This window comes from Homo sapiens, chromosome 1 (genome assembly GCF_000001405.40).
Source record: "Homo sapiens chromosome 1, GRCh38.p14 Primary Assembly".
Taxonomy (NCBI): Eukaryota; Metazoa; Chordata; class Mammalia; order Primates; family Hominidae; genus Homo; species Homo sapiens.
The window spans coordinates 209,756,053-209,778,483 of NC_000001.11; the positions used below are offsets into that span (position 1 = coordinate 209,756,053).

Here is a 22,431-nt window from a genome sequence, read left to right on the forward strand (position 1 = left end):
AGATGATACCAGAGAGCAAGAGAGAGGAACTGGGGTTTGCGAACCTTGTGGCTTTGTCTGTTTCCTGTTTCAGCAAGGCTGCTGTGCAAAAAGAAAGACGGTACCAAGAAGGGACGTGTTAATGGGGCCCAGACCTATGGATTGAAAGCGTGTGCTTTACCCATCTGCTGTCTTGCTCCATCTGAGACCAGAGCCAAGATCTGCCCAGGACTGGAATGCTTTCCCGAGTGGCTTGAGTTGGAGCCTGGGACTAGGAGGTAACTGAGAAGGAGGATGCTTTTGTGTCCAGGTTTGGGAACTCCAACTTCGGGGTAGGGCAGAAGATGCTCTACCATCCCAGCTCCCCTGGGTGGAGAGTGGGTGGCATAGTTTAAGGGTGTCAGGGGTTTGGGTAACCAAGAAAGTATCCTGTATTGGTTTCCTGTGGCGCTAGCCATGGCACAGGGTACAGCTTGCACCACTCCTCTGTTCCAGTAGATTAGATTACATTAGATTAGGAGTGAGTCAAACGACTTAGAGTTCAGGCTACCCAGTGATATGGGCATGAATTAAATGACCTTTTACAGTTTTCTTCAAAGCAGGGATCCCTGAACACAAGACTGCCTTCCCAGCAGCTTAAGCGCAGGCCCCTCTCCCCTCAGTTCACACTGAGAGCTCTGGGCCAGGAAGGCCAACCCATGCAGGAAGCCATTCATTGTCTCCATTACAAACATGGCCAGGAAGTAAAAGCGAGACTCAGAAAGGCATGTCAAGCCACAGTCAGGTGAGGAGCCATGCCCTGTTCTCTCTCTGCAGCCTGAGAGACCAGGCTGAGCCTTCCCAGCCAGTAAACCTTCTTCCTCCAAGCTCTAAGTGAGCCCAGTCATGCTGCCAGGGGGGAACCTGAGAGATGCCAGAAAGCCTGGGCAGTGGCCAAGTGATCTTTCTTTGAACCCTACAGGGACCAGTTCCCTTTTCTTTAGCAGCCTACCCCTGTCAGCCGTCCCACATACCTTCTTGTTTTCAAGCAAGTCAGTAGGGTCCAGATATCCCAGAAACCTGGGTAGGGTTCTATGCAGCATGCTGCACCAAATCCTAGCAGGTGTGGTAGCCAAGGCATCTGGGAACACTCCCCTCTCTAAGGAGCCATTTCCACTGCAGCTCCTTTCTTGGGTAAGAAGGCTCCATGTCTGCCCCAAGGAAGCAGAGAGCAGAGCAGCTGTGTGTTTCAGTGGACTAAGGTTGGTGGCCTGGGTGGAGAGCCCAGAGAGACCTCATCTCAGGCACTGTCTTCTCCCCCACAGCCCTTTCCTCTTCGCGGCAAGAAGGTAGGAGGATTCTCAATGTTCTGCCTCCACTACAAAACCTGTGGGGAAGCTGAGCCAAACAGGGAGGGGACCTCACACCTTATGTGTGACACAGGCAGACCCCATCTCTTCCTTACCTTTCGGCTTGGTGTAATTGGGATGGCAATTATGTCCAGACCACAGAGAAGCCTTTCTCCTTATAGCCCAAACCCAGAGGTCAGAAGTAAATGTGACTTCAGCCTGGGGCCAGCATCCCCTCAATCTGGTAAACAATATACTCTGTCAAAGAGAGAGAGGGTTGAGAGGATGAGAGAAGGCATTCTTGGTCCTAGAAGTGCTAGTTTAGCTTGGAGCCTTTGTCTTACAGCACCAAGTCTTCAATATCCAACATCGGCATAACAAGGATAATATTCGCAATTACTTTTGCACCAACCTAATAGGAATACTTTATGTCTTTATTATTAAAAGGTAACATTTATTGTGTGCTCCATGCCAGGTGCATGGCCTGCATTTTGTCATTTAATCCTTATAACCTACAAGGCAGGTCCTAGCCCCATTTTATAAATGAGGAGACTGGGGCTTAGAGATGTTTAATAGCTTATCTAAAAACACACACAGGTTGTAGGTGACAGAGCCAGGACATGAGTCCACGCAGTGTGACTCCAAGAGCCAGGGTTCTCCACTGCAATCCATGGCAGAATAGCCAGGGGCTGTGGCTCAGGGATGCTGTGAGTGTAGGTTCTAGACATGGAGTTCACATGCACATAATCCTGCGTCTCCTCCATTCAGTCATTTATAACAATAGACATGGGTCTCTCAGACCCTTTCTTTTAAGTCTTTAAATAAAGAAAGTGGCAGGGAAGAAGTCAAGGGACCACCCCCTATGCCCACTCCCACCCTTATCCGAGAAGAAGAAGTAAGGAAAAACAAAGAAGAGAGCCATTCAGAATGGGTATGTAGAGGACAAACATTAATAACCTCACATTTCTGCTTGGAATCAATGCTGCCTGACACCAGAGTATGCCCCTCCAACCCTCAAGAGTCAGGCATTTGAGTGTCCAGGGCTTGACCACACAAAACTCCTCTCAGGGAAGAAGACTGCCCCACCCATGACCCTGGGGAATGAGTGGTAGGATCAGAGAGAAAACAAGAATCCTGCAGAGAATTCCAGACTGAGCCAGAGTAGCGAAGTCCCAGTAAAGGGGCAGAGAGTCTGCTACCTGTTGAGTCTGTTTGGCCTATAAATAAACCCCAAGGGGTTAGAGCTAGCAAATGCCTGCTAGTTGGTGAAGCTGAGATACCCTCCTCCCAGGGTGGTGGGTAATGAGGTCGTGGGAGGAAGAGAAGCAGCAGCAGCTGTGAGGGGGAGTCCCTCTTCCTTCATCAGTCCCTGGTCTGACTCCAGTGATCAGAGGAGGCAGGACACAGAATTTCCAACGCTCAGGATCCAGCTCATCCAAATCCAGCCCAACTCAGCAAAGTGACCAGAGGGTTCTAGGAGGATAAACTACAGAAGGTAGGTGGGGAAGAGTAGGAAAGAGAAAGGCACAGAGAAGGAAAAGGGGATTCAGGTCTAGGTGCTATGTGAATATCAGGTAAGGCCATGCAGAGGGTCATCCTGTGGCCCCTACACCAAGCCTGGCTCCCTGGAAACTTCTGATTACTGTCTTTGTTTTGTTTCTTTTCTGTTTGCAGCAGCCTTATTGAGGTACAATTCATGTGCTTGTGGGTTTGGATGGCACAATCTGTGTCTGGGCTAAGGAAAGCAGACTTGGCACCAACATTAACCCTGACAGGTTGGTAATCCTAAAGAAATGGAACCCTCAGCCCCAACAGTATTGGAGCCAGATGCTCTGAAATGGGTTTTGGCCAGCACTAGGCATGTGGCAGATGCTCAGTCAATATTGATTGGACTTGATCTGCACCTGAGAGACACAGCCCAGTCCTGAGCTTGGAGTGGGGGGCCCATGGACCATTGTCAGGACAGCAGGTTGGAGGAATTAGGGTAGGGTTTCCCTCCTAAACCATGCCAGGTCCAGGCTCACAAGCTCGTTGCTAAAAGTCAAGAAGAGAGCAGTGGGTGCTGGTCACAGGACTGGTCACCACCTGAGGGGGTGTGGTTAGCCCTCCAGATCCTTGAGAAGTGTCACTCAACTATGTTAGTGACAGCTTGGACCAAGAGACCAGTAAAGATACTGACTTTCCTTTTCAACTGGGGGATAAGAGGGCAGATTGGCTCAACTTAGCTGCTTCTCTAGAAGTCTGGAAAATGAACACACACCTGCCATCCAAGAGGCTATAAGCTCATTATGATTTTAATCAATTATTTCTCATGTTCCCCTGACTCAGAGGCATGGTAAGATGTTCAGTCAAGGAGTAAGTGGCAGCCATAGAGACCCTTTTACTTTACAAAGGGGAAACATCGGCTAGAGAAAAGCAGGAATTCACTTTTATAAGACTGTATTAGTTCATTAGAGACTGAGCCCAAGAGTCCTGACTCCCACTTTGATACCACCATGTCCTCAGTTTTCAACCCACATGGATGGAACTCTGTGCTATTTCTGCCCCCTGGTCTAGGGAGATAGTCATTTTTCTGCCCATCTTCTGACCCCTCCCCTTCTCCTCCCTCTTGGCATTTGGCAGATCCAGGCATCTATTCCAGGAACTGGAAGCCAAGCGCAACAGGTGCTTGGAGGTCATCATGATCAGCCCAGACCCCAGGCCCTCCCCTGGCTTGGCCCGGTGGGCTGAGAGCTATGAGGCCAAGTGTGAGCGCAGGCAAGAGATCCGTGAAAGCCGCCGCTGCCGTCCCAATGTGACCACTTGCCGCCAGGTGGGGAAGACGCTGAGGATCCAACAGAGAGAGCAGCTCCAGAGAGCTCGACTGCAGCAGTTCTTCAGGAGGAGGAACCTGGAGCTAGAGGAGAAGGGCAAAGCGCAGCATCCCCAGGCCAGGGAGCAAGGGCCCTCCAGGCGGCCAGGACAGGTGACTGTCCTCAAGGAACCCTTGTCTTGTGCCAGAAGGATTTCTTCTCCCAGAGAGCAGGTGGGCCGTGTCAAGGGACATACTGCTGTGTGCTCTGGGACCCTCTCTGGACAAGGAGGGTGGGTGGGCTCAAGGTCACTAAAAAGTGACCTAAATCAAGTCCTTCTTCCTCAGTCATATAGTAAAGTTGCCAAGAGCTACTTATAGTAAAGTTGCCAACAGCTACTTATTCAGAGATTTTTGCTGTTGTGTTTTCGTTTGTTTAGCTCTTTTTGTTCTGCACTTGACTTATAAGAGAGAAAAAATAATTTTTAAAAACAATTTCAGGCTGGGCATGTTGGCTTATACCTGTAATCCCAGTACTTTGGGAGGCCAAGGCAGGAGGATCACTTGAGGCCAGGAGTTCGAGACCAGCCTTTTGATAGAGACAAGACCCTGTCTCTATCAAAAACTTTACAAACTAACCAGGCATGGTGGTGCACACCTGTAGTCCTAACTAATCAGGAGGCAAAGATGGGAGGATTACTTGAACCCAGGAGTTTGAAGCTGCAATAAGCTATGATCACACCATTGCACTCCAGCCTGGGCAAGAGAGGGAGACCCTATCTCTAAAAAACTTAAAAATAAAATAAATAAAAATAATTCCAAAGCTAATGCCTATATCAGTTCAAATTTAGGCAATATACACATGTCTTCTACAGCTATCTTACAGCATTCATTCATCCATCAGTCATCAAATATTTACTGAAAGCTTATTATATGCCAAGCACACAGGCCAGTCTTCTTGACACACACACAGACATATCTGTCCTCTTTTCTTCTGCAAGGCTGTTGTGCCCACTCTTCTCACTTCCTCTTGTGTCATTCCAATTCTATTAAATCACTTGACTATAGCCTCATCTGGTCCAGGAAGCTTTCCCTGGCTTCTCCAGGCCACCTCTGCTGTCTATGGGCCTTGTGAGGTTAAAATCTTCTAAGATTGTGTAACCCTTAGAGGGCCCATTAGTCTGGCCTGGAAAGGAACAATGTTGGCAAAAACCAGGGTATGCTGAGATGACCTTGGCCAGCAAACCATCTTCCTACTGAAGTTGTGAGCATGTTGACAGCAGGGATGTGTCCACTATGTTCCATGGTAATGCTTGGCATTGTTCCCTACCCAGAGTGGGTACTCTATCAGGGCTTCTTAACTAGTGGATCTGTTATGCTCAATAGGAGATGCTGTTCAGAGAAATGATCCTAGAGCCCAGTTGCAAAAGAAAAGGAACTGTATACTAAAGCAAAAAACCTTCCCACAACTCCCCACTTTACCTAGTCTTCACACAAAACCTCAATGATTTTCTAGCTGTTACTAAGAGAAAGGAGGCTTTCCTTTGAATATGGAAGGAACCTTATGGATTATCTATTCCAAACTCCTCACTACACAGACAGAAGACTGAGACCTAGAAAAGATGGGATCTGAACCCAGATCCCCTCACTCCCCACTCAGACCAGTTCTCTTTCCACATCACCATGCTGGCTATGTAAGTGGCCATAACCAAACAAGGTAGAGAGAGAAAAAAAAACAACAACTAGAGATTCTAGAGAGAAAACCTGGAGAAAAGTACAGCTCCACATATGCCTGGCCTGAGGAGGACCATTTCTGCCAGTCAGGACAAGGATATCAGGAGCAGGAGAAGCCTGTGTGGCTCTGAAAGCTTGAGTGGGCTACTTTGGTTTTGTGGATCTGAAACATTGTCTTCGTCCTGTAATGAATTACCACAGACTGGGTGGCTTAAATAACAGAAATTTATTTCTTACAATTCTGGAGTCTGGAGTTCTAAACCCATGGATTCTGCAGATCTGGTGTCTGATGAGAGCACTCTTCCCACTATGCAGATGGCCTTCTTCTCATTGTGTCCTCACAAGGCAGAGAGCAGAGAGAGAAAGCAAGCTCTCTCGTGTCTCTTCTAATAATGGCACTAATCCCATTCATGAGGGCTACCTGCTCTGACCTAATTATTTCTCAAAGTCTCCACCTCCTAATACTATCACATTGGGAGATAGGATTTCAACACACAGATTTGGGCGGGGGGACAATAAACACTCAGTCCATAACAAACATGATGGTTAGTTCTTCCTTCCGAAATCATCAGGAGAGTCTTTCAAGAGGCTCCAGGCAGTGGTTTTCAGCATTCCCCACTTGCCTTCCAGGTGACAGGCACCAGCTCTGAAGTCTTTCCAGCCCAGCATCCTCCTCCCTCAGGCATCTGCAGGGATCTGTCTGACCACCTCTCCTCACAGGCTGGGGGCCTTCCTCCACAGGACACTCCCATCAAGAAGCCACCCAAACACCACCGTGGTAAGAGCAGAGCCTCCCTCACTCCACAGGGCCTGCAGAGAATCCTGAGACAACTGTCCCAGCTCACTGGCAATGGAGAGTCCCTGTCCCTCCCCACTTCCCTCACTTCCTCCCTGTAAGTTCTAAATCAACTTATCCTCCATCTCTCAGGTACTCAGACAAAGGCAGAAGGACCAACAATTAAGAACGATGCCAGTCAGCAAACCAAGTGAGTTCCTGACCCTAACCCTCTCACATCCCATCCATTCCTCTCTAGAGAGAACACAATGAATTTCCATGTCCGCCTTAATTAAGAAAGAGGAAGCCCTTCCCCACCCTACTGGCTCTTCAGAAGGAATCAACCCACTGCCTCCTGACTTGATTCTTTGGTCCATTATCATTATTTTTAATTTCTTCTCTTTCCAGTTACGGAGTTGCAGTTCTGGATAAGGTAAGCACATATTCACTTTGAAGGGGTCAAATCAGAAAGTATTAAGCTCTGACATTCTGGAATTCCATGATAAACTTGGCTGGGATGGAGGGGCATCTTCTTCCTGGATGGCAAGGGGGTACTGAGCATAGACATGGGGACTAAAGGGACCCTGTCAGAGCCAAAGCAGAAGAGGTTTGCTCTACACAAGCCAGCCCAGGCTCTGGTTCTATATCCCAGGGTTTCAGGGGACTTACAGACATTTTGAATACCCTTGTTCTTTCTCTCCAGGAAATCATCCAGCTTTCTGATTACCTCAAAGTAAGTGGCATGTGACCCCTCCCCTCAGTTCCTCCATCCACTTACCCCCGATCCTCCAGGTTAATCTTACCCTCTTGCACTTTGTGCCCGCACCCCCAGGAGGCCCTACAAAGGGAGCTGGTCCTAAAACAGAAAATGGTGATTCTCCAAGACCTACTGTCCACTCTGATTCAGGCCTCTGACAGCTCTTGGAAGGTAAGGGAATGAAATTCTTTTTGAACAAAGCTTGGGCTTCTATGTGTTCCCATCTCATTTTTCTTTCCACATCATCACAGTAAGAGAAGGGGTTTTCTCACTACTGAAAAGTAAGCTGGGAAGAGGCAGGAGATGAGGGGGATGGTGCTCAGACCTAGAAGTCAAACAGGTCACAATAAATATATGGGTCATCACCTGAGGGTCATGGTGCTACATATCCAAGGAAGACCCAGAAACAAAAGTGGCAAGAATTCCCATTTTTTAATTTGTTGGAAGGAATGAAGGAAGATCCCAATATAGTTTACATTACTAAATATGCTAAATGTCAAATATTTTCATATGGGATTCCCACTGATATTTATCGAAACCAGCATGCCATGTACCCACTCAGTCCGAATAAAAATATCAGAGTGGGAAGGGACCTTAGAGACAATCTGGCCTAATACTCTCATTTTGCCCATGAGGAAACTGAGCTTCATAGGGGTCAAGTAACTTGCGAAAAGTCACACAGCTAGGTAGTGGCAGATCTGCAACTAAAATTCAGGCCTTTGATTTTAGTCCATTCAATGTACAATATTCATAGGTTATGTCCTCTATACAGAGCACTGGACTAGCACTAGAAATAATGAGATTATTTAGATAGGGTTCTTGCTTTGAGAAGGCTCACGGTTTTGTAAGAAAGACACATGACTAAACAATACAAAAACATGAAAAATAAAAGAAATGTTTTCAAGATATAGGAAAATACAAGAAGGAATGAGTGACTCCAGAGAAGAAAAGAGCCAGGGGAATACTTATATAAGCATTTGCCAGGAAAATATGGAAGAAGGAATAGTATTTTAGTTGGGGTACAGGCAAAGGTCTAAAGGCAAGGCCGGGGGTGGTGGCTCACACCTGTAATCCCAGCACTTTGGGAGCCCGAGGCGGGTGGATCACCTGAGGTCAGGAGTTCAAGACCAGCCTGGCCAACATGGCGAAACCCCGTCTCTACTAAAAATACAAAAATATTAGCTGGGTGTGGTTGCACATGCCTGTAATCCCAGCTACTCAGGAGGCTGAGGCAGGAGAATCGCTTGAACCAAGAAGGCAGAGGTTGCAGTAAGCTGAGATCACCTCATTGCACTCCAGCCTGGACAAAAGAGCGAGACTCCATCTCAAAAAAAAAAAAAAAAAATCTAAAGGCATGACACAGTCTAGTAAAATGGTTCTCCAATTTTTTTATTTCAGGATTCCTTTATACTTTTTAAATTATTGAAAATATATAAGAAATGTTTATATTTACCATACTAGAAATTAAAACAGTTGGCCAGGTGCCGTGCATCATGTCTGTAAATCCCAGCACTTTGGAAGGCTGATGCAGGAAGATCACCTGAGGTCAGGAATTAGAGACCAGCCCGGCCAACATGGCAAAACCCTGTCTCTACTAAAAATACAAAAATTAGCCAGGCGTGGTGGTGCACACCTGTAATCTCAGCTACTCCGGAGGCTGGGCCACGAGAATCGCTTGAGCCCAGGAAGTGGAGGTTGCAGTGAGCGATGATAGTGCCACTACACTCCAGCCTAGATGACAGAGCAGGACTCTGAGAGACAGGAGAGAGAGAGAGAGAGAGAGAGAGAGAGAGAGAGGGAGAGAGAGAGAGAGGAAGGAAGGAAGGAAGGAAGGAAGGAAGGAAGGAAGGAAGGAAGGAAGGAAGGAAGGAAGAAATTAAGATAGAAATTGAGAAAGAATTATTAATTTTAAAATAATGAGAGTAAAATTTTTCATGCTAACCTGAATTACATGTTTTAAGAAAAACAGTCTGGGTGCGGTGGTTCACACCTGTAATCCCAGACTTTGGGAGGCCAAGGCAGGTGGATCACTTGAGCTCAGGAGTTCAAGACCAGCCTGGGCAACATGGCAAAACCTCGTCTCTACTAAAAATACAAAAAATTAGCCAGGTACATTGGCATGCACCTGTAGTCTTAGGAACTCAGGAGGCTAAGGCAGGAGAATCTCTTACGTCCCAGGGGTGGAGGTTGCAGTGAGCCAAGACTGCACCACTGCATTCCAGCCTGGGCGATGGGAGTGAAACTCTGTCTCAAAAAAGAAAAAGAAAAAGAACCATATTTTCAAAAACAAAATTAGTGACAGGAGTATCATTGCTTTACACTTTTGCAAATATTTTTAATGTCTGGCTGAAAAAAAAGACAGCTAGCTTCTCAATTTGCTTCTGTATTCAATCTATTGGTTTAAACATAAAGAAAAATTCAGTTTCACACAAATATGTCATTAGAAAAAGTAAGACTTTGCTGATCCCTTAAAAGGGTCTTGGGGATTCCCAAGTTTCCTCAGAATCCCCATGTTGAAACCTGTAAATTAGTATGTACTATAAATTCATGTATTAATATGAGCTACAAGCAGCTTGACACCACCAAAGCATACCGCACCGGGTGGAAAGAGATGGAGCACACAACCTCACCGGCCTGTGTGACATCTCACCCTACCTTGAAGATGGCTTGAGCAGAGAAAGAAAGATGATGGGAGAGTATGGAACAAAACTGAGAAGTTGCAGTGATGTAAAAAAGATTTCCTAAGCTCAGCCCTGCTCCTCACGTCAGACATTGTACCTGGATTTCTCAATCTGTGGTCAGAGCTCCTGATTGTTAGGTCATTTTCATTGACAGAGCAGGAACTTGGGGCAGACAGCTGTGCACGTGAGGTGGTTTCTGGTCCTGAACTAAATTGAGATCATCTCACTCATTTGTTTGACAGTCATTTGATAAGTTCCAACTCTGTGCTGGGCCTTGTGCTACAGGGGCAAAGAGCATTACAGTCCTAACTCTTGAGGAGCTCACAGTCCAGCCATGAAGACAGAGACATGTAATAAATAACACCAAAACAGTATAATAAGGCTATAGCAGCAGTGCATAAAGCATGATGCAGGAAAAAGAGAAAGAAGGCAGCAATTATTCCACCTGAGGTGGAACAGGGAAGGCTTTAAAGGAAGGAAACCTGGCCAGGCACGGCAGCTCATGCCTATAATCCCAGCACTTTGGGAGGCCAAGGCAGGTGGACCACTTGAGGCCAGGAGTTCAAGACCAGCCTGGCCAACATGGCGAAAACCCGTCTCTACTAAAGATACAAAAATTAGCTGAGCGTAATCGTGCATGCCTGAAGTCCGAGCTACTCAGGAGGCTGAGACACAAGAATTGCTTGAACCCAGGAGGTGGAGGTTGCAGTGAGCTGAGATTGTGCCACTGCACTCCAGCCTGGGTGACGGAGCAAGATTCTGTCTCAAAAAATAAAAATAAAGGAAAGAAACCATTTTAGCTGAATCTTGAAGGATGAGTAGGAGCTAACCAGTAGAGAAGCAAGAGTGATGATGAGGGAAAAAAGCAGAAAGTAGAAGAGTGTTTAAGGTAAAGGAATTGGAATGATTACAGGCCTATGTATGGCAAAGAATTGGGTATAGCAGAGTATGGCTGAAATGAAGGTATGCCAGAGTAGTACCAAAGAAAGGATCTCAGACAGGTCTTTAGAATTATGGGTCTTAAACTTTTTCTGTTGAACAAGGTATCTCAAACTTGAATAATGCATGGACCCATTTTTAAAGGAAACCCATATATGTATATATATAAAATCAGAGATCCTTTAGAATGCATGCTACCCAGCTTGAGAAACACTGCTATAGGTAATAAGCTGAGTAAGAATGGAACTATGCTTTATTGAGGTATAAAGTCCTACACTTAGCAATGTCTGGCTCATCCTTAGAAGGTATGCAATTACTATCTGAGGAAATGACTTGTGAATGATCAGATCTGTGTCTTAAAAAGTTCTGTAATTTCCAACTGGATGCAGTGTCTCACACCTGTAATCCCAACACTTTGGGGGGCCAAGGCAGAAGGATCACTTGAGTGATCAAGACCAGCCTGGGCAACATAGTGAGACCTCATCTCTATTAAAAATAAAAAAATTAGCCATGCATGGTGGTACACACCTATAGTCACAGCTACTTGGGAGGCTGAGGCAGGAGGATCGCTTGAGCCCAGGAGGTCCAGGCTGCACCACTGTACTCCTGCATGGGGTAACAGAGCAAGACCCTGTCTTGAAAAAAAAAAAAGAGGGGGGAGGGTTCAAGGATTATCTAACTTGTAGCAATAAGAACCCTGGCTCCAAGCAGGGGTTGGGGGAGTTGAGACTCTTGTAATATCCCAGGTAAGACACAACCAGAGCTTGAATCAAAGCAAGCTTTGTGGGAATGAGGGGGGATATATTAAGAGACATTTCTGGGTTTGTCTCCAAGGAGGAGTTTCACCCCATGCTCCAGCCCAAGAGCAGAAGTTCCCTTGGTTGTGGTTTCCTCCCTCCCTTCTTCTCACCCCTCCCAATCCTCACCCTTCTCTTCTTTGTCCCTCCTCCCCACCAACCCCCTAGCTTCCAGTTTTAAAGAAAAACAGTCTCAGACTTTTTCAGTTAACAGCTATTGTTTCCCCTAAAATAAGGTAATTCAACTCTCTATCTCTTCCATGAAAGCCTCAACTCCAATAAAAGTATAGCCCCAAACTGTGGTATCTGGGAAAAATAATTGGAAGAAAGTGGCCAGAACTGGTTCAGACCTTTATTTTTGCCATTTGACCTTCATAAATTTGAATTTCCAACTTCACATGCTGAGAACTTACCACAAACTCCCTATTAGAATCCCAAGGATCAGCTCCCTCCGCTGGCTTCACCTCCGGATGTCTCTGGGCCTTTTGGATACCATAGGCTCTGGGGCACTATTGAGACTCCTGAGGAGGGTCCAACCTTCAGGGCAGAAACAGCTCTACTAGCAGAGAAAGCAAGCTTTCAATATTGTGCAATACAAAAACGAGAGCAGGGCAGCCTTGGGTTTGAAGATCTGCGTCCTGGAATTAAGATCTTGAGATGACAGCGCAGCGGGGATTGGCTGAAGCCCTAAGCAACCTCTACTAGAGCAGAGAGATGAGCTGTGGGCTGGTGCTTCTGTGGTGAGGTGGTGGTGTTTCTGGAGAGCAGATCAGAGGCAGGGGAAAACCACGCAGAAGCAGGAGCTGAAGACCTCAGACCGGCACCAGGTGTGTATGGCCTCCGCCTTGCTCCTCTCTTCACTGGGGTTTATATGCCCTCTGAGCCCTCGGCTCCCGGGGTCTAACTGCCTAGAATGTCAGCAGTAGGCCTGTAAAAAGTGCTTCTTCCCACATACTGTAACACTGGGCTTCAGTGTGGGGGACCCTGGGGCTCAGACCAGGAAACTACATGCCCGATTTGCAACAACTTGGCTGCGACTTTTATGACGTTTTGGGGAGTCCAGAAAAGCAGAGCTGTGGAAAGAGGTTTCATTCAAGCTCCAGACTTGGGTGGCCCTTCATCCCCACTGAAGTGGCTATGGTAAATTGTCTTCCGTTGCAACACGAATGGAAAAGTAATTTGGGGTTGGGCCAATACAAAAACAGTTGAAAGAGGCAAAATATTGGATTAAAGCCATACTATGGAATGGGGAGAGAGGAGGTACCCCAAAAGGGTAGGAGACTGGGAAAATTTTAAGAATATTGCCTTAGGCCTGCTATATTCCCAAAATACAGCAAGATAAACCTTAAATTTGGTAGGTTTGATTGCATTCTGCATAGAAAGAGTTTGGGCAAAGGCAAATGTGTGGAACCGAAGATGTGAACCAGAGGAGGTAGGTGTAGAGCCAGTTGATTTCAGGACCTGTGGATTGACAATGAACAGGCCACAGTGGAATGCAGCCGTTTTACCAGTTACTTCAAAGCTCAAACAGTAGAAGTCTTTGTCCACGTCTTCCATCGGTCCCAAAGCCCTCTGCTTATTGTAGATGCCAAATCCCTGACTCTCTGCTCTCCCTCACATGAGACGTTAGGAAAAACATTAATAGCAGGAGGCACTTTAAAAAATTATTTTTGGCAACACTTTTTGCTTTTGCAAGCCCCAGCTGAGTAACACAGGAAGCTGAAAGGGTGGGGGCACCCCCTGGCTCCCATGGTTAGAAGAATAAGCCAAACAAGATCAAAACAGGAGCTGCGAGATACCACTTCCTGCCTCTCCCAGGCACCCTGAAACTCACTGAGGGAGGCGGACCTCAAAGCCGAGCCCCCTCCTCTACCCCCAGACCATTACAAACCGGAAATGTTATAAGAGATGGAAATGTCCAGGCCATCTGGCTGAGAGAGCCCATGGCGTCTCGGGCCTAAAGAGAGGTGGAATTTCAAGACCTCACAAGCGTCCCACTTGGCCTGGTTGGAAAAAGCCAGAGAAAAGATAGGAAAACCGGTCACTGCCCTTTCTCTGGAAAACTTGCTCTCATTGATGGCTCCTCCGCCCCCTCCCCTACACAGATACACCCTACACAAAACTCCAGGCTGGAAGAACAAAACCCCTACCTGGGCAAAAGGGGCAAGTCTACAAAGGGAGGGGACAAAAAAGTGGCAGGGAAGCTGTAGCTACTAAGCTGAAATACTGAAAAACCGAGAAACAGATTGGCTCTTCATGCCGGCCTTGCTCCCCTCTCGCCCTTGAGATTAGCATCTTTCTTGGAATGTCGAAAATACCATTAGACAGCCCCAGCTTATGAATAAATAGAATGTGACTTTCTGGGAAGCTCCCTTACACCCCCTGCCGCCCTCACTCTGCTTTAATATCTCTCCGTTTCTTGCTTTCTTAAAGAAGTTCTCATCTTGAGTCTAGTATGTACGTGTGCATGTGGAAATGTATGTATGCAGGTGGAGGTGTGTGTGTGGAGATGGAAGTGTGTATGTCCAGATGGAATTGTGCGTGTGCATGTGGAGGTGTGTGTGTGCAGGTGGAGGTGTGTGTGTGCATGTGGAGGTGTGTGTGTGCAGGTGGAGGTATGTGTGTGCATGTGGAGGTGTGTGTGTGCATGTGGAAGTGTGCGTGTGCATGTGAAAGTATGTGTGTGCAGGTGGAAGTGTGCGTGTGCAGGTGGAGGTGTGTGTGTCCAGGTAGAATGTGTGTGCATGTGGAGGTGTATCTGTGCATGTGGAGGTGTGTGTGCAGCTGGAAGTTGTGTGCAGGTGGAGGTGCACATGTGCATGTGAAGGTGTGTGTGTGCATATGGAGGTGTGTGTGTGCATGTGGAGGTGTGTGTGTGCAGGTGGAGGTGTGCGTGTGCAGGTGGAGGTGTGCGTGTGCAGGTGGAGGTGTGCGTGTGCCTATGGAGGTGTGTGTGTGTGCATATGGAGGTGTGTGTGTGCAGGTGGAGGTGTGTGTCTATATAGAAGTGTGTGTGTGCATGTGAAAGTGTGTGTGTGCCATGTGGAGGTGTGCGTGTGCAGGTGAAGGTGTGCGTGTGCAGGTGAAGGTGTGCGTGTGCAGGTGGAGGTGTGCGTGTGCATGTGGAGGGGTGCGTGTGCATGTGGAGGTGTGTGTGTGCAGGTGGAGGTGTGCGTGTGCATGTGGATGTGTGTGTGTGCTCAGGTGGAAGTGTGCGTGTGCATGTGGAGGTGTGTGTGCAGGTGGAGGTGTGTGTGTGCAGGTGGAAGTGTGCATGCATGTGGAAGTGTGCGTGTGCATATGGATGTGTGTGCATGTGAAGGTTGTGTGCATGTGGAGGTGTGCGTGCGCATGTGGAGGTGTGCGTGTTCATGTGAAGGTGTGTGTGTGCATGTGAAGGTATGTGTGTGCAGGTGGAGGTGTGTGTCCCTACGGAGGTGTGCATCTGCATGTGAAGGTGTGCGTGTGCATGTGAAGGTGTGTGTGTGCATGTGGAGGTGTATCTGTGCATGTGGAGGTGTGCGTGTGCAGCTGGAGGTGTGTGTGCAGGTGGAAGTGTGCATGTGCATGTGAAGGTATGCATGTGCAGGTGGAGGTGTGTGCATGTGGAGGTGTGTGTGCATGTGAAGGTGTGCGTGTGCATATGGAGGTGTGCGTGTGCATGTGAAGGTGTGTGTGAAGGTGTGTGTGTGCAGGTGGAGGTACGTGTATGCAGGTGGAGGTGTATGTGTGCAGTGGAAGTGTACGTGTGCATGTGGAGGTGTGTGTGCGCATGTGGTGTGCGTGTGCATATGGAGGTGTGCGTGTGCATGTGAAGGTGTGCATGTGAAGGTGTGTGTTCAGGTGGAGGTACGTGTGTGCAGGTGGAGGTGTATGTGTGCAGGTGGAAGTGTACGTGTGCATGTGGAGGTGTGTGCGCGCATGTGAAGGTGTGTGTGTATATGGAGGTGTGCGTGTGCATATGCAGGTGTGCGTGTGCATGTGAAGGTGTGTGTGTGCAGGTGGAGGTACGTGTGTGCAGGTGGAAGTGTACGTGTGCATGTGGAGGTGTGTGCGCGCATGTGAAGGTGTGTGTGTATATGGAGGTGTGCGTGTGCATATGCAGGTGTGCGTGTGCATGTGAAGGTGTGTGTGTGCAGGTGGAGGTACGTGTGTGCAGGTGGAAGTGTATGTGTGCAGGTGGAAGTGTACGTGTGCATGTGGAGGTGTGTGTGCACATGTGAAGGTGTGTGTATATGGAGGTGTGTGTGTGCATGTGGAGGTGTGTGTGGCAGGGAGGGGAGTGTATTAATCTCCTAGGGCTGCTATGACAAAGTACCACAGTCAGGGGAACTTCAAAAACAAACTTATTTTCTCATAGTTCTGGAGGCTAAAAGTCTGAGATCGAGGTGTCAGCAGAGTTCGTTTCTCCTGCGGTCTCTCTTCCTGGCTTACAGATTGCCATCTCTCTCTGTGTCTCCACATGGCCTTCCTGCAGTGCCCTGATCTCCTCTTTTAATAAGGACATCCATCATATTGGATTAGGGCCAGCTTAATGGCCTCATTTTAACTTAACTACATCTTTAAAGACCCTTTCTCCAAATATGGTCACATTCTGGGGCACTCGGGGCTTAGGACTTCAACATAGAAATGTTGAGGAGATATAAATGAGCTCATAACCGAGGGCAAGGGAGGGAATAAACATTCTCCCGGGAGGGGAGACTGCGTTAGCCTCACTGGCCTACATTTTACAGGGAAAAGTCCACGTACAAGACTGAGAAGAGGTGAGGAGTGCAGAAGTGCCTAGACAGGGGAGGGAGATAGTGAGCGAAAGGGTAGCTTAGAAGCTTTCCTTCCGGGGCCCCCCTGCTATGCTACCCTGAGCCATTTGATAAAAATCGAGGTAAAAAGAGGACTTGAGGCCAGTCTTATTCTTTCTTGTCCTAGTCCAGAGAAACAGGAGAAGATCCTCTTCTATCCAGCATCCTTTGTCATCTTTGCTCCTGCCTGCCTCCTGAAAGAGTTCACTGTTTGAGCACCAACCATGTGCTGGGCAGTAGAATAGGAATATAGAGTCAAACTCTTTGCAGACTAGATTTTGCCCCAAGCTCATTAACTCATCCCATTTGCTCCAGGGACAGCTTAATGAAGACAAACTGAAGGGGAAACTGAGATCCTTAGAAAACCAGCTATACACCTGTACCCAGGTAAGCATTCTGAAGGATACTTCCATCTCAGGAATCTAGAATTAAATGAGAAGAATGTTTTTGAACCTCAATCTTACTTTCGAGAAACACCACCAGATAGAGAATAACACACCCATTCCTACTTACCCATTTCTGGCTTGGCCATTTACACTTTAGTCTCTAATTCACTAGATCACTGTCTCCATCCTTCTTCCTCTCCCTTTCTCCCAGTATCCTTCTCTTTGCACCCTGGAGGAATCCCAGCACTAACCAGTTTGTCAGCTCCAGGGGAACCTTGAGAATACCTGACACTGTAGGGGAAGGCCCTTGGTAAAGACTCACATCACCCAGACAGCCCTTTACGCATCCTAATCTTTGAACAGATGAGTTAGATGTTATAATGAAGTCTTACAAAATTATTTTCATTCCATGGGTAACTTTTTTCTGTTTTTTCTAGCAACCCCTGGAAGAATGTAAAAGCTCTTTTACTTGGCTCTTCTGTAACACCATTTTCCAGCATTAGTAATCTCTTGATTGGCCTAATCTTGGTTTATAAGAGATAGAAAGAAATCAGCTTTCACATTTGAGAAGTGATGGATACCTGACAGGTGGGAAGATATCAAATCAGAGAATGGGGTGAAACAGGCAGAATTCTCCCATCTGGAGTTAGAGAGAGAAGACAGTCCTGGCCACATTGATGGCGTCTTACAGGGGAAGAGAGTTTATGGAGTCTATAAGTTTCTTGGTCCACAACTTTCATTTTTTCAGTATAACTTGCTTTGTCAGGACTAAATAATGCCAACCAAGTTCACAGGAGACTAATATATAATCCAGAATGCCAGTCTATTCATTTTCAATAGGGAATAACACATAACCAGTGCCCAGCATGGATGGTCATTGGATGTCCAATAACTGGGACATCCCCTACATATGACCTCAACCAGGTTAATTCCTGGATCTGGTTTTTAATGAAAGTTCCAAAACTATAAGACCCACTCAAATTTAAATCCAAAATTTCAGACAATTCCAAAGCTAAATGGAAATGATTTCATATTGATCCCTAAATTGTTGTCATCTGGTCTACTGCTTACACAGTAGGTAATCCAGAATTGACAATAAAATCTGCCTGCCTTCTCCGAAATCACAGGGCATAAAGATGAAAGAAAGGGAGAAGGCAAGACCCCCAGTGAATTTGCAAAGCTGCGCTTGTGTCTCCTTAATCCTGCAGCCAGGAGGAATTTTATAATGCAAATGTATTAATTTTAAAACATGAAGTTCATTAGGCATTGTAAAGAAGCTACAATGATTTTTTTTTAAAGCAGCAGCAGTATGCTCCCTCCCTGAAGGAGTTTACAATCCAGTATGAAAGACAGATGAGTCAATAGAGTAGAATAATAGAGGCATGCAGGGGATACTATGTGAACACCATGAACCCTAAGAAAAGCTACCTAATCCATAAGACATTGTGGGATGGGGGTAGTTGGTCAATTTATCAGAACTGATGATACTGGACTGAATCTTGAGTATTAGTAGAAGTTAACTGGCTGTAGGCAGAAGAAGCTACATGGGTAAAGGCAGAGCCCCAAAAAACAGAGTGCTGGGGGATCTGCAAACATCTCAGCTTAGGTGGAAGTAGCATGGGATGAAAGTCTAGGCGTGTAAGAGGAGCCATGACAAGGAGTTTGGATGTGATTCTTAGTATGCTGAGAATCCATGGAGAGATTTATACAGGAAGTGGCAAGATCAGATTTGCATTTTAGAAAGAACCCTCTAAATGCAGAACTGAAAAGGGACTGAAGGGAGGCAAGATTTGAAGAAAGGGAGGCTGTTGCATTAATCCACATAACACTACTACTAGAGCCTGAACTAAGGAAGCAGCAGTAGGGATAGAGAGGAGACAGATATGAGCTGTTAAGGAAATTGTCAAGGCTCAATGACCAACTGATTAGAGGGGGAGGAAGTGAGAGAGAAAATGAAGATTGACTCCCTGGTTTAGGGTTTGGAAAAGCCTGGATGGATGATGATTCTGGTCACTGAGATAGGAACCCCAAGAAAAAAGAACATGTTTAGAAAGATGAGTCCTGTTTAGACATCTTGGATTCCAAGAGCTTGCAGAAGGCCTCAGATATAATGCCCAGGAAGCCTAGGGCACTGTTTATTATGCCCTCCACTCATCTCTCATTGCCTGAGGGACTCTTCTTGCTAGCTCTACCCTAAAAGAAATGGCTCACTAGATTACTGGTATCTCTGCCTGGGGGAAGAACCAACTTCTTTTCATTTCTGTATCCCAGCTCAGGATTTGGCACACAGAAGCTCAATGTGTATTTGTTGAATTGCATCAAATTTACAGAAATACTCCCCTTGGGGAATGAAAAAAGTACTACTGGAGATGGAAGACCAGAAAAACAGCTATGAGCAGAAGGCCAAGGAGTCACTGCAGAAAGTGCTGGAGGAGAAAATGAATGCAGAGCAGCAACTACAGAGCACACAGGTATGGGGATGCCACATAGACATGGGGCTGGGGACTCCAGGCAGCTTGGGGAACAAGGGGAGCCAGCTGCACAACTCCCTGGAGCCCTCTCCTCTCTGATCTCCCTCAGCGATCCCTGGCCCTGGCAGAGCAGAAGTGTGAAGAGTGGAGGAGCCAGTATGAGGCTCTGAAGGAGGACTGGAGGACCCTTGGGACCCAGCACAGGGAGCTGGAGAGCCAACTCCACGTGCTTCAGTCCAAACTGCAGGTACCAGGCACTGGGGGTGGGGAGGGAAGACAGGGTATGGGGAGGAGGGATGGTGATGAAAGAAGCTGTTCTGGATTAGGGACTCCAAAGGCAGCTGACAGCATCTGGCTTTCAGTTCCTCAGTCACCACTACTTTGTACCAAATTCACTGTTTTGGCTCTGAAATCTAATTTTGAGTTTAGCAAGGATGTCTGCATTGCTCATGCAAATGAACTAAGCGTTCATTGGAATGACACCATCACCACCCAAATGAAAAGAACTGGCTGGAATATTCATCAGCCTACTAATGTCATCTCCCAACCCACTCTCCAAACTCCATCCCAAAAAAGCATCCAGTTCAGAATTGCCCACTGTTGGCAAAGAAAGAATGTCACTAATTTATTTACAGGTGAGTATTAACACTTTCTGCCAATGTGTATTTTAAGCAATTACATTTAGCAATTACAATTAGATTCTTGGCATCCTCAAGGGTTCCATCATCTTCAATCTGTCCTAAGCCTCAGTTTCCCCATCTCTAAAATGAGGATAATAGTACCTACATCATAAGGTGGTTCTGAGTATTAAGTAAGATGATCCATGTAAAGCACTTAGCACAATGCCTGGCACACAAAAACACTCAGTAAATATTAGCTATTATTTTGCATAGATTTATTTACCTGGTTTGGAATTTTGAGGATCCACCTCAAAAGCTGATCTTTGTAATTTTCCTGAAGCAGGGCTCAGAACAGCCCACTTGATAAGAGACAGAGTATGTGAGTCTTATCAAAGGAGTGAACCCAGCTGGTCACTCTGCGTGGTATCCACAGCTCAACCTTTGTTGTTTTCTTCTTCCCATCACCTATAAGGCAACTCCTATGAAGATTTTTGTGAGGGGTTTTTTAACTTTAAATCTTTGTGGAAAAAAAAAGACCCTAACCAAAAAAAAAACTGATACTGCCAGAAGTAGAAAAAAGAGAAAATGAAAACATCCAGAAAACTAATGACTTTGTATTCCTTAATTTGGTGATTTACCAAAGTGTCAAGACATGACTCCCACACCAATGACAACCACTTACATTTCCCCTAGAATGGCAGATTTTTTAACGTACTGGGTTTCCTAAAGCAATTCTTATTTTATATATTCTAATTTATGTACATGAATGTGTCACTTAGACCTGTCACTAGGGATGGTTTAGAAAATAAACTTACACTGCACATGCCTCAGTCCACTTCAAAACTACTGGCAAATGCCTGTAGTCCCAGCTACTCAGAAGGCTAAGATGGGAGGATTGCTTGAGCCCAAGAGGTCGAGGCTGCAATGTGCTATGATGGCACCACTGCACTCCAGTCTGGGTGACAAAGTGAGACCCCATCTCTAAAAATAAAAATAAATAAATAAAAGACGCGAGTTCCTTGTGAATATCAAAAGTCTAATCTGCTGTTATAAATATGAGGAACAAAGCAAAGGGAAGAAATAGGAAAAAAGAAAGACTTCTCTATTTTCTCATCTCCCTAACATTCCTTCTATCTCTAAAATTCCAGACTTTTCTACATTTTCCTCTTCCATGGTACCCGCCCCCCAACCTCCACCCCAACACTGACCTCCTTCTATATTGGCCCTTCCTCCTCCTTACAGGGAGCAGATAGCAGGGACTTACAGATGAACCAGGCCCTGCGATTTTTGGAAAATGAGCACCAGCAACTGCAGGCCAAGATTGAATGCCTGCAAGGGGACAGAGACCTGTGCAGCTTGGATACCCAGGACCTACAAGGTACTCTTCTCCTTGGAGGCCTTGAGTGCATGGCAGCCATGGCCAAGTGAGCTAAGAAAAAAGAAACTGAATTAAGAGAAAGGCTTCAGCCTTTTATTTGTTTGCTTGATTGGTTGATTGGCTTTATAATCTCATTTTACCTTGAGGGAGAGGCAGGACTGTTTTAATCATCCAAAATTGAAAATTAATTTCACTGTAGTAGATAGAGTATCTTGTTGTCTGAGCTCTCTTTTTTAGCCCATCCCTCTGGGCCAGATCACAGCTGCTCCCACATCAGTCACATATGTCAAGGCCACAGTCCTAATTTGAAAGGGAAAGGTCAGTTGAAACACAAGGCATAGAGAAAGTCTCTCAGTCACATCCTCTGTGTCCGCTGATAGAGAGGACTAGATAGTGTGTAAACACAAGCCTCAATGCAACCCAACATTGTTGATGCACAAAAACCTGAGGTACTTGGCTTCTGGTTTACCTCTTCAGAACTGGGACACGAAGATAGAGCAACTTCCAATAGACACACGTTAAAGACCATGACAAGACAGCATCTATTACTAATTTCCATCCTAAGTACTGAGTTCATTAAGTCTTGGGTTCCTTTATTTTGGCTTGCATTATTGCATTTTCAGATCAACTAAAAAGGTCAGAGGCAGAGAAACTCACCCTGGTGACCAGAGTACAGCAGTTGCAGGGTAAGTTCGCTTTCCAGATTCTGAAAGTCCACAGGGTTTTCCTGGGGTCCTGGCCCACAAAAGGCACCCAGAGTAGGGACTAAGGGCCCAGTCTTTGGCATATGCTCTAACTCTGTGCACTTTCAGACCCTCTTCTTGTAAAGTGAGGTCATTTACATAGCTCTCCATAAATTATGTGTTAGCCTCTGTTCTTTTTTTTCTACTGTTCTCCTTCCATGCCAATGACACCACTTACATTTCCCCTAGAACTGCAGATTTTTTTTAAATACTGGGTTTCCTAAAGCAGTTCTTATTTTATATATTCTAATTT

General features: G+C 46.3%; 1 protein-coding gene across 12 annotated transcripts in view, besides 5 other annotated features; it reads left to right on the top strand.

Annotated features, from left to right (window-relative positions):
* TRAF3IP3 (TRAF3 interacting protein 3) overlaps positions 1-22,431 on the top strand; it is a 26,258-nt gene continuing 3,827 nt past the window's right edge. For 4 of the 12 annotated variants that reach the window (NM_025228.4, XM_047430963.1, XM_011510018.4 and 1 more), the window contains exons 1-13: positions 1-257; positions 2,982-3,082; positions 3,930-4,332; positions 6,463-6,610; positions 6,761-6,818; positions 7,016-7,040; positions 7,311-7,340; positions 7,440-7,535; positions 16,896-16,967; positions 19,297-19,437; positions 19,547-19,684; positions 21,300-21,435; positions 22,059-22,121. In NM_025228.4, the coding sequence (NP_079504.2) occupies positions 3,988-4,332; positions 6,463-6,610; positions 6,761-6,818; positions 7,016-7,040; positions 7,311-7,340; positions 7,440-7,535; positions 16,896-16,967; positions 19,297-19,437; positions 19,547-19,684; positions 21,300-21,435; positions 22,059-22,121 (1,252 nt within the window). In that variant the 5' untranslated portion in view covers positions 1-257; positions 2,982-3,082; positions 3,930-3,987. Of the gene's footprint in view, positions 258-2,445; positions 2,803-2,981; positions 3,083-3,929; positions 4,333-6,462; positions 6,611-6,760; positions 6,819-7,015; positions 7,041-7,310; positions 7,341-7,439; positions 7,536-12,512; positions 12,609-16,895; positions 16,968-19,237; positions 19,438-19,521; positions 20,073-21,299; positions 21,436-22,058; positions 22,122-22,431 lie in introns of those variants that run through there. The other 8 variants (XM_005273279.6, NM_001287754.2, NM_001320144.2 and 5 more) reach the window with 7 other exon arrangements.
* Positions 164-573: an enhancer, noted in NCBI's record as "active region_2473". NCBI's record gives its function as "activates an Ori minimal core promoter by ATAC-STARR-seq in GM12878 lymphoblastoid cells {active_cell/tissue: GM12878}" and the evidence as "EXISTENCE:reporter gene assay evidence [ECO:0000049][PMID:35858748]".
* Positions 13,344-13,393: an enhancer, noted in NCBI's record as "active region_2474". NCBI's record gives its function as "activates an Ori minimal core promoter by ATAC-STARR-seq in GM12878 lymphoblastoid cells {active_cell/tissue: GM12878}" and the evidence as "EXISTENCE:reporter gene assay evidence [ECO:0000049][PMID:35858748]".
* Positions 13,404-13,653: an enhancer, noted in NCBI's record as "active region_2475". NCBI's record gives its function as "activates an Ori minimal core promoter by ATAC-STARR-seq in GM12878 lymphoblastoid cells {active_cell/tissue: GM12878}" and the evidence as "EXISTENCE:reporter gene assay evidence [ECO:0000049][PMID:35858748]".
* Positions 15,492-15,991: an enhancer, noted in NCBI's record as "H3K4me1 hESC enhancer chr1:209944889-209945388 (GRCh37/hg19 assembly coordinates)". NCBI's record gives its function as "activates a minimal SCP1, AML or CMV promoter by ChIP-STARR-seq in primed H9 embryonic stem cells {active_cell/tissue: H9 hESC(primed)}" and the evidence as "EXISTENCE:reporter gene assay evidence [ECO:0000049][PMID:30033119]".
* Positions 21,818-22,018: a silencer, noted in NCBI's record as "peak675 fragment used in MPRA reporter construct". NCBI's record gives its function as "represses an SCP1 promoter by STARR-seq MPRAs in K562 erythroleukemia cells {active_cell/tissue: K562}" and the evidence as "EXISTENCE:reporter gene assay evidence [ECO:0000049][PMID:32103011]".